Genomic DNA, 14,213 nt, shown 5'->3' on the forward strand with positions numbered 1-14,213 from the left:
CCAAAGTCTTCACAGGTCAAAATGTCAAGGTATTGCTCTTTGAAAACCCATCTATGCCACCTCTAGTATTACTGTCTAAATTACTGTTCTTCAGTGTGTCCACATATTATACAGCTAAGATTTATTGTCTTCTTACTGTCTAAATTACTTTATTACTGTCTAAATTACTGTTCTTCAGTGTGTCCACATATTATACAGCTAAGATTTATTGTCTTCTTACTACAGCCAGACAATATTCTAAGCACTTTACACATCTATCTTCACAACCCTGTGAAGTCGGTGTTATTACCCACTTTCAGTCTGGGTCCAGTCAGGAGACAGAAGCCATTTTAATTATTTAAACAGAGAAAATTGAATAGAAGAATTATTATCTAGGTATAAAGTTGATGACTAGGTCATAAAGGGGTAAAAAGAGGACGCTAAGTTATCAAAGAGGTAGCAACTGCAGGAAGCAGCTTCCATCTGTAGGCCTAGGGGAGCAAAAAGAAGAAGCTGGAATTGTTAACACTTAGAGATGTGGAGGAGGGGCGCTCCAAAGCTGAACCTCAGCTCCAAAGGTGCAGCTGCAGGTGTAGCTCCAGAGCTGGCACCTGCAGAGCACAGCTTCGTGGTGCACCGCTGGTGTCTCTGAGGGGGCACAGTGAAGCTGGCACTGCAGGTGTTGGAAAAACTGCAAATTGGACTCTGTTGCTGCTGTAGAAAAGAACTGCTACTGCTGCTGCTGCGATGAAGAAGCTTTTCAGAAATGATGCTCTCAGGAACAGGAAGCAGATGAGGAGAAACAAGTCCCTTCGTCCTTCTTAGCCCTTCCAGTCTCCCTCTAGTGCCCTCTCTTAGCAGGGCTAGGCAGACACTGGCAAAGCCAAAGTGTGGTCTATATAGTTTCAGCCCTGGCATCATAAAGCAGAGTATAAAAAGGTGTTTTGGAGACAAGAGAAAACTAACTCAATAGCTAGAACATATCCTTATTTTTACATATGAAGAAACTAATATACAAAACCAGTGAAAGTAGTGAGTACATTACCCAATATCACATGGATCTGAAGATACAAAGCCAAGATCTGAACCCAGGTCTGCCTGATTCCATAGTCTATATATTTAATGGCTACACAGATTTCTTTCCTATCAGTTGTCTTTCATGTGTTTCTTTTTCTCTTTTTCATTTATTCACCCAACAGCTATTTCTTGACTGTCTATGTCAGGCACTGTGCTTGCTCTGGGGAAAACAGCAGCAAACAAAAATGGACATTCTGTCCTCAAGGAACTGAAAATCCATTTCTATCTATTTCTGTTCTTATTTTGTTTTATTATGGCCCACTCCTCTCTCCTTCTCTGGATGCTTTTCTCTTTTTGTCAGTGTATCTTATCTGAAATTGTGAATTTCTGTCTTTTTCAATTATTTAATGTCTGCCCTTCTCTTCTTTGCTGTCCTGTTTTTTTGTAGCTTCAAGTCTGTCTTGGTCCTTTTCTCCTCTCATGTTACCTTCTTTTTCCTTCTTCATGATTCTGTCCATATTAACTGGCCAAAATGTGGACCCAAGTCTAGGTTCTGTTTGTGAGTTTTTTGGGGGACAAGTTTCACAAGCTCTGTTCTTAAAATCTTCTAAGTGAATGAGTGAAACTGCCTTAAAACACAGACAAATGTTCTGTGTTCTCTACCTTAAAACACAGACAAATGAAACCTAACTCAGTAGGCTTTTGCTTATTGACCTTTCATTTTCTTACGTGGCTAGCTTCTCCAAGGGAATCAGTCATTGAAAGACTAAAACAATAGATTGAAGGAAACACATCATTTATAATGGTTCTTGCAAACAGACTTTCTGACACGCCAGTCATGACCAGCACATTCTTTTCTGTTTAGAGAGTGACAGTGTGTGTAGTGGTTAAGGTTGGGGATCCAGACTACCTTGAGTTTGAACTCCAGGTCTTCCATTTTCTAGCTGTGTAGTATTAGGCAATTTACTCAGTCCCTCTATGCCTTGGTTTTCCTCATCTGCAAAATGGGAACAATAATATTGGCACCTACCTTACTAGTTTTGGGGAAGGATTAAGTGAATTAATATATAAAGAAATTCAGAAGAACATCTTGGTTATAGTAGTTATAACCAACTTACTGTTATTTATAACACAAGTTATATAATGGCAATAATGGTTTTCAATCTCACAGTCCTTTTATTCTGTTTCCCTAGACTCTAGATTACTGGTCTCCAGACTTTTTGAGTCATGAGCTCTCCTTTCTGTGGATCTGCTCACATAAGTGCTGAGGAAACACATAATGTCAAATAACTGCTGAGTCTGTCAGTTCTTCCCGGTTTTATATGACAGAAAACCAACTCAATTCAGCTTAACCAAAATGGGCTACATAACTGGGAAGCCCAGCTGTAGAACTGGCAGCCATGAGTAGTTCCAGAGCCTCACCAGGAAGCAGAGCCCCATGTCAGTCTCTCTCTTTGGTTTTTAATCCATTGTCTTCATTCCTTCCTACTGCAGTCAAGCCTTCTCCTGCTGGTGACCATGATGTCCTCTGGCAAACTGTGATTTTCACCTTTACAGCTACCCTAGGGAGTCACACTTACAAGCACTCCTCTTACAGAGAGTCTATGAGTATCTCAAGCTGAGGCCTCTCTCAGGGAAGTCCCTGCCCTCCTGCATAACTCTCTGTCCTTGGAAATTGGGGCAGCCTTGGTCTCTTCTGTTTATTGGGAATTTCAGCATCACCAGGGCCATGAGAGCAACTCGATTGTCCCCTTCACCATTTTGTTTTTCAGGTGAGCCTGGGTGCCATGATATGTATAAGACTCTTGGTGGCCAGTTTTGGTAATCCAGGATTCCCAAGAAAGGCCTGTATATTAGGCCCATGACCCAACTACACAGCACTGATACTACACCTGCCTAATGACTGATTGCATTTTGAAGAGGCTTTCATGTGACAGCACTAGACAGGAGAGAAGTGTAGGAAAGTAGCAAACTACTAGGCATTGGGCATTCTTTGCCAATTCAAATTTTAGTGTCAGAAACATCATATGTCATTTCTGCCCATTTCTTCTCTCTCCTTATATCTTATACCTGCCATCCTGCCTTTTCTTTTTCCAGGTAAGCAGACAGTGGACCTCTAATGAACACATTTTTCAAAGATCTAGCCTAACCTCTGAACATCTTTAGTCACTGAGTTAAGCAATACAAACAATTAAATTAAATGTGCTAGGTTTCTAAAACTGTGTAGAGACTTGTAGTGTCCTTAAATAGTCTCAGTTGTTTATATAAAAAGCAGTTATTAACAGGCAAGGATTAGGACATAAGTATCTAGTCACACAGTTCTTAGTTCTCAAAAACATTCAGAGAAGTTAACCAACAGGCCGCAACTGTGCTTCTAATTCTAAAGAGCTGCTTGGGTAGGGTGTCTCCCTGTCTCCATGTTAGGTTTTCCTGTTCTCTTTTCTTATCAGGGTCTTCCTTGACACAGTCTGTTCTCAAGGCCTGAGCAGCTCCCTCAGCCACTGAGCATGGGGGCCCTGGCAAAGGAGAGGGTGTGGATTTGCCAGGAAGGATAAAGGTGAGTTCTTCAGAGTAGGGCCACGCACTGAGAAACCAGGAAGAGCCCAATAAGCTTGTCACCTCTCCAGTTTCCTTAATGGGACTTTGAGTACTAAGGGGAGAGATAGTGAATGAGAGAGCAGAGGTGGCTGCAAGGCAGCAGCCCCTGATCCTTGAGGGGCTGGAAGACTTGGACGGCAGAGGCAGTGAGTTCTGCTTCAGGATCCCAGCCAAAGGAATTAGGAACTGGGTGGCCAGGACAGCTGTTTCTGAGCTCTGAAAAGTTAAGCCTGGCCAAGGATTCATGGTGTGCTGCCCTGGAAACTAGTCAAAGGCTCTCATCAAGAGCCTCTGGGAAGCTGTTTGTATAAATTGCTCTAGGTCATGCATTGGTCTTCCACATCTGCTGCCCCAGTGACTTCCCAGTGCTAATTTCTGGTGAAGGAGGAAAAGACTGCCTGTGCCCACAACGTCATCCTTCAGAAGGTGGGCAGGTGGGAGCAAGCGGTGTGGGAAGAGGGCCAAGGGGTCTAGGGCCCTGCGTTCTACCTTACCTCTGCCTCGCAGCCTGTGCAGCGTGTGTCGCCAAGTGGCTCTGTGGCAGAGGAGAGAGGAGGAGGGAGGAGGAGGCAGGAGGAGGCAGCAGGAGGCAGGAAGAGGCCCAGCTCTTCACTCTTCACTTCTCAGGGAGGTCATGAAGGTGCCCAAGGAAAGTCATATTTTATTTCTGACAAAAATTTGGTTGAGGGCCAGGAAAGTAATTCATTTTATTTTTGGTGGGATCTTTTAGGAAGGGACAAATACAAAATGTTCTCATTCATCTGCTTTAAAATTTAAAGCAGGGACTATTTAAGCAAAATGTTGAGTAAAACCAATAATCAATGAAAAACACATATAGCGGTTCCTCATCTGTTAAACTTTGGACAGGGATGACATGCCCCCAAAACAAATTTAAATGTCCCATAACCTTTTTCTTTTTACACTTAAAAACATTATGTATTTTACTGACTTTTCAACCAGATTATATGGCTTACAATCTAATCTTCTTTTGGCGAATCAGCATTGTACTTATACATCAATTACAGTAAATATCTTCAGATTCCTTTGCTTTTTCTAATTTTCTTTCTGTCATCTCTGCTAGGCTTTCTCTTATTGCTACCATAAGTGTTGTCCTCTAGAAGCAGATTACATTCCTTCCTTTTTTGTTCTAATTGTTTGTTCGTATTATAGGCAAGAAAATAGATGAGCTTATTAGAATTCTAGAAGAAAGTGTGAGCGGGATGGCTACCGGAGCCCACAGACCCTGACTTTTAGGTAAAGGCACAGAGACACACATCAGCACATATGGACATTTTTTTCTATAAAAGGAGTTTAGATTAATGCATTAAATATTTTTGAAACTCCCTCTATATGCCAGGCACTTGGCTAGGCACTGGCTGTCAAATAGAAATAATTCCCAGTATCTTTCCTTGAAACATAGACAGTTCATGGGGCATGATGCTTTGTAATAATCAGACGCCTCATCATGGTTCTTGAAAGATATTTTAATGTGATAAATAACTGCCAAGGAAGTGCTACTGACTACTAAAGAGGGGCCTTAGACAGATCTGAACATTAGGAGGGCCTCAAGGAAGAGTCCTCCCTCAGATGGAGTCCCAAGAGATTACATTTATACCTAAATCTCAGAGTAAATTGAGATTTGTCAAACAAATAAATACCATACAGCCTTTAAAATGTTGGCTAAAAAAAGAATTGTGCAAACAAATTACCCACAATATGAATGCACTTATATAAATTCTAAAAACACACAAATACTATATATATTTACTGGAACACATAAATAAAGCAAAAGTATTTATACATGGGAAGGAGACAAAGCAACTTTAGGATAGTCGTGATCTCTGGGAAAGAGGGAGGGGAATAGAATTAAGGAGAGACATCAAAGGGCCTACAACTTTTTCTGTAATCTTTATCTCCTTATTAAGAACAGAAAAGGCCAGGTGCAGTGGCTCACACCTGTAATCCCAGCACTTTGGGAGGCTAAGGCAGGTAGATCACTTGAGGCCAGGAGTTCGAGACCAGCCTGGCAAACATGGCAAAACCCCACCTCTTCTAAAAAATACAAAAATTAACCAGGAATGGTGGCATGCACCTGTAATCCCAGGTACTCGGGAGGCTGAGGCAGAAGAATCGCTTGAATCTAGGATGTGGAGGTTGCAGTGAGCCGAGATCATGCCACTGCACCCCAGCCTGGGTGATAGAGCCAGACTGTCTCAAAAAAGAAAAAAAAAAAAAGAACAGAAATAAAGTAAATGTGCCATGCCAAAATGTTTAACTATCACTGGATTCAGGTGGTGTGAATAAGCATATTGTTATCTATACCATTCAAAATATTTCCTAATATGTATTAGTTTCCTAATAAACAGAAAACTAAGAGGAAAAAATCCTCAAGCCTTTCTATTGAAATATAAGGTGGTTCTCCTTCTAATACCAGGGACCTGGAACCTGTCCATACATTTTACTCAGCTGACCTATTGCTATAATGTGGGAAGCATTGTTATTTACACGTGTCTGCTTTGCTGTGGGCTTATTTATGCCTAGACCCCCCTCTTCTCTCCCATTAGATGTAAACCCTTCAAAAGCAGGAAGCAGAACCATTGTACACACACTGAACTGGCTGGTTTAAGATTCCCTTTGTGCCCCCAGAATTAGCCGTGTCTTGCTTGTAATTGGAATTTGGTAAAGATTTTTTGGGTGAGTGAGTTCAAGCTGACTTCCCTTGAGCTCCACTACTGTAAGCTCCAGGATAAGTGCTGCCCTCAGGGAGCTCACATGCTGGAGACAAGACAGACACAGACACCTACCTGACTGGACAAAAGGATGACCTAGTGTGGCAGGTGCAAAGCCCAGGTGATTAATTCTGACCACAATGGCTGGGGGAGGGGGGGCATACTGTGATTAAATTTCCCACATATTGGTGATCTTCTTTGCAGTAAGAGATTGCTTGCCCCAAAGACTTGGTTAAAATATGAATCTCTTGACACTTCAAATAGATCACCTAAGACAGAACACTGGAATCCAACAAGAAGTTTACAGGAAACCCTTAAGGCAAGGAGGGAGAGGTAAGTGAGGCAGCCTGCTAGGCTAGAATTGGCTGGGAGCCTAGAGAGGTCCCCTCATGTGGATAAAGGGTAGTGAGAGACACCCCCCTGCCCCCGAGAAGTCCACCTTTCCACTGCTCCTACAATCCTAGCCACAGGAGAGGCCCTCAACCCTTGTGGGCCCTGAGATGAATATAGGGAACTTCCCAGAGTCTGTGTGACTGCATTGCTTCAGAGAGGGAGATCACGGTGGGTCTCACACACCCCATGAGTCCTATGAAGCTACAGAATGGCACAATTTTGGGACCCTAGTCCCCACCAGACTGCATACTGCCCTTGGGCCCAATAGCCTCTGCATCATCCCTGGAGCCCCATTGACAATCTCTTCCTGGAGCTGCTGCCACTGCTAGCTGCTGCCAGGGCTGAAGCAGGAACCATTAGTAGCAACCCTGCTGCTCCCAGCAATGAGAGGCTGTGCATTTTCATGTGCCTTTAGGACAGACTCCTCCACCTGCAGCCAATGTGACTGCTGGCTGTTGCTGCTGGGGCAGAAACATGAACGACTGGCAAGCAATCCTGCTACCCCCAGCAGTGAGGCCACCATTCATTTACAAGTACCCCCAAAACAGGCTCCCTTCTTGGCAGCCACCACCTGGGGATGAGGTGCACACTCCCCAGCTGTCTGCCTGTGGCTGCTGCTACTGAAACCAATCCTGCCCTCCCGAGCAGGAGAACCACAGCACAGCTGCTGCTACTCCCATCTGAGCATTACACTGGGGGTCAGGGGATTATCCTGCCCTGCCTCCCACAGGAAACACCCACAAGCACCATGGAGGCCCTGAAGACAGGTTTGCCTGGCCTGGTTCTGTGTGCCCTAGCAGGCCCAAGCATGCCATCCAAGGGCCTGAGGATTGCCCTACCCCATCCACCACCATAGGCACTTAAGCCCTTCTCCCAGAAGTCTGAGGATGGCCCACTCAACCTGCTGCTACCATCACAGCTGGAACCCAACTGCTCACACCATCTGTGGGCCTGGGGACTGGCCCAGTCAACTTGTCACAGCCACCATCAACACCAGTGTGAACCATTTAGGAGCCAGAAGTTGTCCTACCACTGCTATTGCCATCACCCATGCCACACCCACTGCCCCAAAACCCAAGGGCACACCCACCCTCCTGCTTACTGCTGACACTGCTGGCACGCAAGAAAGCCACCTGGAGGCCAAAGAATCAGGCCATCTGGACATGATAACACAGGTTCCAACATATACCACCCTGGGGCCCAAGGATGAGCATTTGGCCGGTCACTGTCTGCCACTGGGGCCTGAGGACTGGCCTACCTGGCATCCCTATCCCCAGCAAAACTTCACTACAGTCTTCACTAACAACTGCATCCCAATCCATTGAGAAAAGCCACAGGCATTATCAATACTATCTACTGAAGAAATCATATGGATACTACACTATCATGCACACCCAGAATAAAAGCAAAAGTGCCCTATTCCACCAACACCATAGAAACATCTTCAGGAATAAGTCCTCCTTCATGAAAACAAATCCAAAAAATTGGAAGAAGGAACTGTCAAACTAGACATGCAGATATCAATGTAAAGACACAAGAAACATGACAAAGCAAGGAAATATGACACTCCAAAGGAACACAATAATTTTCCAGTAAAATAATTCAATGAAAAAGAAGTTTATGAATTCCCAGAAAAAGAATTCAAAATAATAATATTAAAGAAGCTCAGTGAGATACCAAAGAACACACTAAACAATACAAGTAAATCAAAGAAACAGTTCAGAATATGAATGAGAAATTTATCAAAGAGATAGGTATCATAAAAAGAACTAAACAGAAATCCTGAAACTCAAAAATTCATTGAATGAAATAAAAAAAATCTAAAAGCTTCAATAATAGACTAGATGAAGCAGAAGAAACAATTTAGAACTTGAAGATAGGTCTTTTGAAATAACCCATTAGACAAAAAATTTTAAAAGGAATAAAAAAGCATGAAGAAAGCCTGTGTGACATATGGAACACCATAAAGCAACCAAATATTCAAATATTCAGTGTCCAGGAAGGCAAGGGGAAAGTGAATGGAATAGAAAAACTATTTAACAAAATAATAGCTGAAAACTTCCCCACTCTTGCAAGAGGTTTAGACATCCAGATACTGGAAGTGCAAAGGTTCCTAAATACACACAATTCGAGAAGGTCTTCTCTGTGGCATCTGCTGTAGTTTTGTTTGTTTGACTCCTCCAAATTTTATGTTGAAATTTGATCCCTAATGTTGGAGGTAAGCCTTTGGGAGGTGTTTGAGTCATAAGGCTGGATTCCTCATAAATGGCTTGGTGCCATCCTCATGATAAAAATTGAGTTCTCATTTTATTATTTCCTATGAGAGCTGATTGTTTAAAAGTCTGTCACCTCCCCGCCTCTTTTTCCTGCTTCTTCTCTCATCAACTGTTCTCTGCACATGCCAACTTTAGTGGAAGTTGTCTGAAACCATCATCAGAAGCAGGTGCTGGAACCATGTTTTTGGTTCAGCCTGCAGAACTGTGAGCCAAATAAACATCTTTTCTTTATAAATTACTAAGCCTCAGGTATTCCTTTGTAGCAATACACCAATGGACATAGACAGTACACAATAATCAAACTGTCAAAAGTCAAAGACAGGGTATTCTAAGAATAGCAAGAGGCCAGGCATGGTTGCTCACACCTGTAATCCCACAGTTTGGGAGGCCAAGCTGGGTGGATCACTTGAGGTCAGGAGTTCAAGACCAGCCTGGCCAACATGGTGAAACCCTGTCTCTACTAAAAATATAAAAATTAACCAGGCACAGTGGCACATGCCTGTAATCCCAGCTACTTGGAAGGCTGAGGCAGGAGAATTGCTTGAACCTGGGAGGTTAAGGTTGTAGTGAGCCAAGATCATGCGGCTGTACTTCAGCCCGGGTGAAAGAGTGAGACTCTGTCTCAAAAAATAAAAAATAAAAATAGCAAGAGAAATACAAGAGAATCTCCATCAGACTAGCAACAGATTTCTCAGCAGAAACCTTATAAGCCAAAAGAGAATGGGAAAAGATATTCAAAGTGCTGAAAGAAGAAAAACGGTCAGGCAAGAATACCATACTCAACAAAGTTATTTTTCACAAATGAAGGAGAGATAAAGGCTTTCCCAGACAAGCAAAAGCTGAGGGAATTTATCACCACTAGACTAGCTCAACAAAGAATTCTTATCAGAGTCCTGCATTTTGAAGTGAAAGGATGATACATGTCATCATGAAAACACACGAAAATATAAAGCCCACTGAGTAGAACACACATACAAATAAGAAGAGAAAGGACTTAAATGTTACCAACTAAGAAAAACAATGATAAACAATGAGAGAGAAGAAAATAAACAAAGGCTATACAAAAAAACCTAGAAATCAATTAATAAAATGACAGGAATAAGTCCTCACATATCAATAATAATCTTGAATATCAACAAATTAGGCTTTCCAATTAAAAGATATAGACTTGTTGAATGGATAGAAAACATGGCCCAACTATATGCTGCCTACAAGAAACTCATGTCACCTTAAAAGACTTATAGGCTAAAAATAAAGGGATGGAAAAAGATATTCCATGCAAACAGAAACCAAAAGTGAGTAGAAGTAGTTATACTTACATCAGATAAGACTAACTTTAAGTTAAAAGCCACAAAAAAAGAAAAAGAAGGTCATTTTATAATGATAAAAACATCAGTTCAGCATGAGGATATAGCAATTCTAAACATATATGCCCCAAACACCAGAGCATGCAGAGTCATAAAGCAAATATTACTATGTCTGAAAAGAGAGATAGACTTCAATATAATAATAGTTGGAGACTTCAACACCCCACTCTCAGCAATAGTTACATCATCTAGGCAGAAAATGAACAAGGAAACACTGGATTTAAGCTACACTTTAGACCAAGTGCATCTAACAGACATTTGCACAACATTTCATTTAACAGCTACAGAATACACATTCTTCTCATCATTACATGGAACATTCTTGCAGATAAACCATATGTTAGCTCAAAACAAGTCTCAAAAAATTTTTAAAAATGAAAATCATATCAAGTATCTTTTCAGATCACAATAGAATGAAACTAATAATCAATAACAAGAGGAACATTGGAAATTGTATAAATACATAAAGGTTAATCAGCATGCTCCTGAGTGAAGGAAGAAATTAAGGAGGAAATCAAAAAATTTTTTTAAAACAAATGAAAATGGAAACACGACATACCAAAACCTGTGGGATACAACAAAAACAGTGCTAAGAGGGGAGCATAGCACTAAATGCCTACATTTAAAAAGTGGAAAGGCAGAGCAAGATGGTTGAATAGAAGCCTCTATTGATGGTCCCCCAATAGGAACACACCAAATTTAACAACAATGTACATAAAAAAAGCACCTTCATGAGAACAAAAAATCAGATGAGCTATCACAGTACCTGGTTTTAGCTTCATATTGCTGAAAGAGGCACTGAAGAGGGTAAGAAAGATGGTCTTGAGTCATTGACACCACACCTCCCTCATTTCCCAGCAGCAGTTACTTGGTGTGGAGAGACAATCTGTGCACTTGGGGGAGGGACAGCACAGCAACTGTAGGACTTTGCATTGAACTCAATGTGGCCCTATCACAGCAGAAAGAACACTTGGCTGAACTCAGCCAATGCCTGACCACAGAGGGAGCATTTAGAGCAGCCCTAGCCAGAGGGGGATTGTCCATCCTAGCAGTCAGAGATTGAGTTTTGGCAAGCCTCACCACCATAAGCTAGAGTCCTCTGGGGTCCTAAATAAATGTGAAAGGTAGTCTAGTACACAAGAACTGCAATTCTTAGGCAAGTCTAGTGCTGTGCTGGGGTTGGAGCTAGTGGAGTTGAGGGGCAAGTGATCTAGTGAGACACCAGCTGGGACAGCAAAGGGAGTGCTTGTGCCACCCCTCCCTCAGCCTCAGGCAGTACAGTGTCTTCTGCTTGAGGAAAGAATGAAGAGTAAAAAGGACTTTCTCTTGCATCTTGGATACCAGCTCAACCACAGCAAGATAGGGCACCAGGCAGTCATGAGGCCCCCTTTCCAGGTCCTAACTCTCAGACAACATTTCTGGACACATCCTGGGCTAGAAGGGAATCTATTGCCTTGAAGGGAAGGATTTAGTCCTGGCAGGATTCAGCACCTTCTAACTGAAGAGCCCTTGGGCTCAGAATAACCAGCAGTGATACCATGGGCCTTGGGTGAGACTCTGACATGTGCTGGTTTCGTATGAGATCCAACATAGTCCCAGCTGTGGTGGTTATGGGGATATAATCCTTCTGCTTGAGAAAAGCAGAGGGGAAAGTAAAGGGGACTTTGTCTTGCACCTGCCACAGTGGGATAGAGCAACAAGTGGGCTCTTGGGGTCCCTGATTCCAAGACTTGGCTCTTGAATGGCATTTTTGGAACTGTCCTAGGCCAGAGGGGAGCCCACTGCCTTGAAGGATGAGTTTGACACCTGGCAGCATTCACAAGCTGACTGAAGAGCACTTGGGCCTTAAGTGAACATTGGCAGTAGCCTGGAAGTACTCACCATGGGCCTGTGGTGGTGGTAGCCATGGGGTGAGGCTCCCCTGCCTATGGAAAGGGGAGGAAAGAGTGGGAAGGACTTTGTCTCATGGTTTGAGTGCCAGCTTAACCACAGTAGAATAGAGCAAGAGTACCAGGTAGATTTCTAAGGTTTTTTATTGCAGTCCCTGGCTCCTGGATAGCATCTCTGGACCAACCTGGGGTCTGGGGGATCTTGCTGCTCTGAGGGGAATGATATAAGCCTGGCTGGCTTCACTACCTGCTGATTGTAGAGCACTTGGTCCTTGAGCAAACATTGGTGGTAGTGAGGTGGTGGTTACAGCAGGCCTTGGGCAAGACACAGTACTGTGCTAGCTCCAAGTCTCCCCCAGTGCAGTCCCAGTGGTGGTGGCCACAGGGGTGCTTGCATCACCATATCCTGTTTCAGGTGCCTCAGCAGACACAGAGAGAGAGAGAGAGAGAGAGAGAGAGAGGCTCCATTTATTTTAGAGAAAGTAAGGCCCGAGAGCAAGAGTCTCTGCATGGTAATCCACAGAATTCTTCTGGATCAAATTTAAGATCACCAACGCATAATCTCTATGAGCCTGCAAGAACCACAGTGTTACTGGGTTTGGTGTGCCCCTAATGCAGATAAGGCTTAGATCACAATTCACAGGTCCCTTTGAATACCTGGAAAGCATTCTTAGCAAGTATAGGTATAAACAAGCCCAGACAACAAAGACTACAATGAATACCTAATTTTTCAATGCCCAGACACCAAAGAAAGATAAGCATCAAGGCTATTCAAGAAAACATGGCCTTACCCAATGAACTAAATAGGGCATGAGGACCCAATCCTGGAGAAGCATAGATATATGTGACTTTTCAGACAAAAAATTCAAAATAGCTGTTTTGAGAAAGCTCAAATAAATTTAAGATAACACAGAGAAATAATTCAGAATTCTATCAGATAAATTTAACAAAAAGATTGAAAGAACTTTAAAGAATGAAAGGAAAAATTCTGGAGTTGAAAATGCAATTGACATAGTGAAGAATTCATCAGTCTCCTGACAGCATAATTGATCAAGCAGAAGAAAAAACAATGGTGAACTTGAAGATAGGCTATTTGAAAATATACAGTCAGTGGAGACAAAATAAAGAAGGAAGGACACTTACATGATCTAGAAAAAAGCCTCAAATGGGCAAATCTAAGAGTTCTTGGCTTTAAAGAGGAGGTAGAGAAAGAGGTAAGTATAGAAAGTTCAAAGGGACAATAACAAAGAACGTCCCAAACTTAGAGAAAGATACCAATATTCAAGTACAAGAAGGTTCTAGAACACCAAGTAGATTTAACTCAAAGAAAACTACCTCCAAGACACTTAATAATAAAACTCCCAAAGGTCGAGGATAAATAAAGTTTCCTAAAAGCAGCAAGAGAAAAGAAACAAATAACACATTATGGAGCTCCAATACATCTCTCAGCAGACATTTCAGTGGAAACCTTACAGGCCAGGAGAGAATGGCATGACATTTTAAAGTGCTGAAAGAGAAAAACTTTCACCCTACAATAGCATATCTGGCAAAATATCTTTCAAACCTGAAAGAGAAATAAAACCCCAGACAAATAAAAGCTGGGAGATTTCATCAACACCAGACCTGTCCTATGAGAAATGCTAAAGGGAGTTGTTCAATCAGAAAGAGAAGGATGTTACTGAGCAATAAGAAATCACCTGAAGGTACAAAACTGACTAGTAATAGTAAGTACACAGAAAAACACAGAATATGATAACACTAAATTTGGTGCATAAGTTATTCTTAAGTAGAAAGACTAAAAGATGAGCCAATTAAAAAATGATAACTACAGCTTTTAAGACACAGCACAATAAGACAAAAAGAATGATGGCCGAATAGGAACAGCTCCAGTCTACAGCTCCCAGCGTGAGCGACGCAGAAGACGGGTGATTTCTGCATTTCCATCTGAGGTACCGGGTTCATCTC

At 42.3% G+C, this 14,213-nt stretch overlaps 2 annotated features.

The window, feature by feature from the left end:
- Nucleotides 9,743-9,943: a silencer, noted in NCBI's record as "peak1793 fragment used in MPRA reporter construct". NCBI's record gives its function as "represses an SCP1 promoter by STARR-seq MPRAs in K562 erythroleukemia cells {active_cell/tissue: K562}" and the evidence as "EXISTENCE:reporter gene assay evidence [ECO:0000049][PMID:32103011]".
- Nucleotides 13,803-14,003: a silencer, noted in NCBI's record as "peak1794 fragment used in MPRA reporter construct". NCBI's record gives its function as "represses an SCP1 promoter by STARR-seq MPRAs in K562 erythroleukemia cells {active_cell/tissue: K562}" and the evidence as "EXISTENCE:reporter gene assay evidence [ECO:0000049][PMID:32103011]".

This window comes from Homo sapiens, chromosome 12, assembly GCF_000001405.40.
Source record: "Homo sapiens chromosome 12, GRCh38.p14 Primary Assembly".
Classification (NCBI taxonomy): Eukaryota; Metazoa; Chordata; class Mammalia; order Primates; family Hominidae; genus Homo; species Homo sapiens.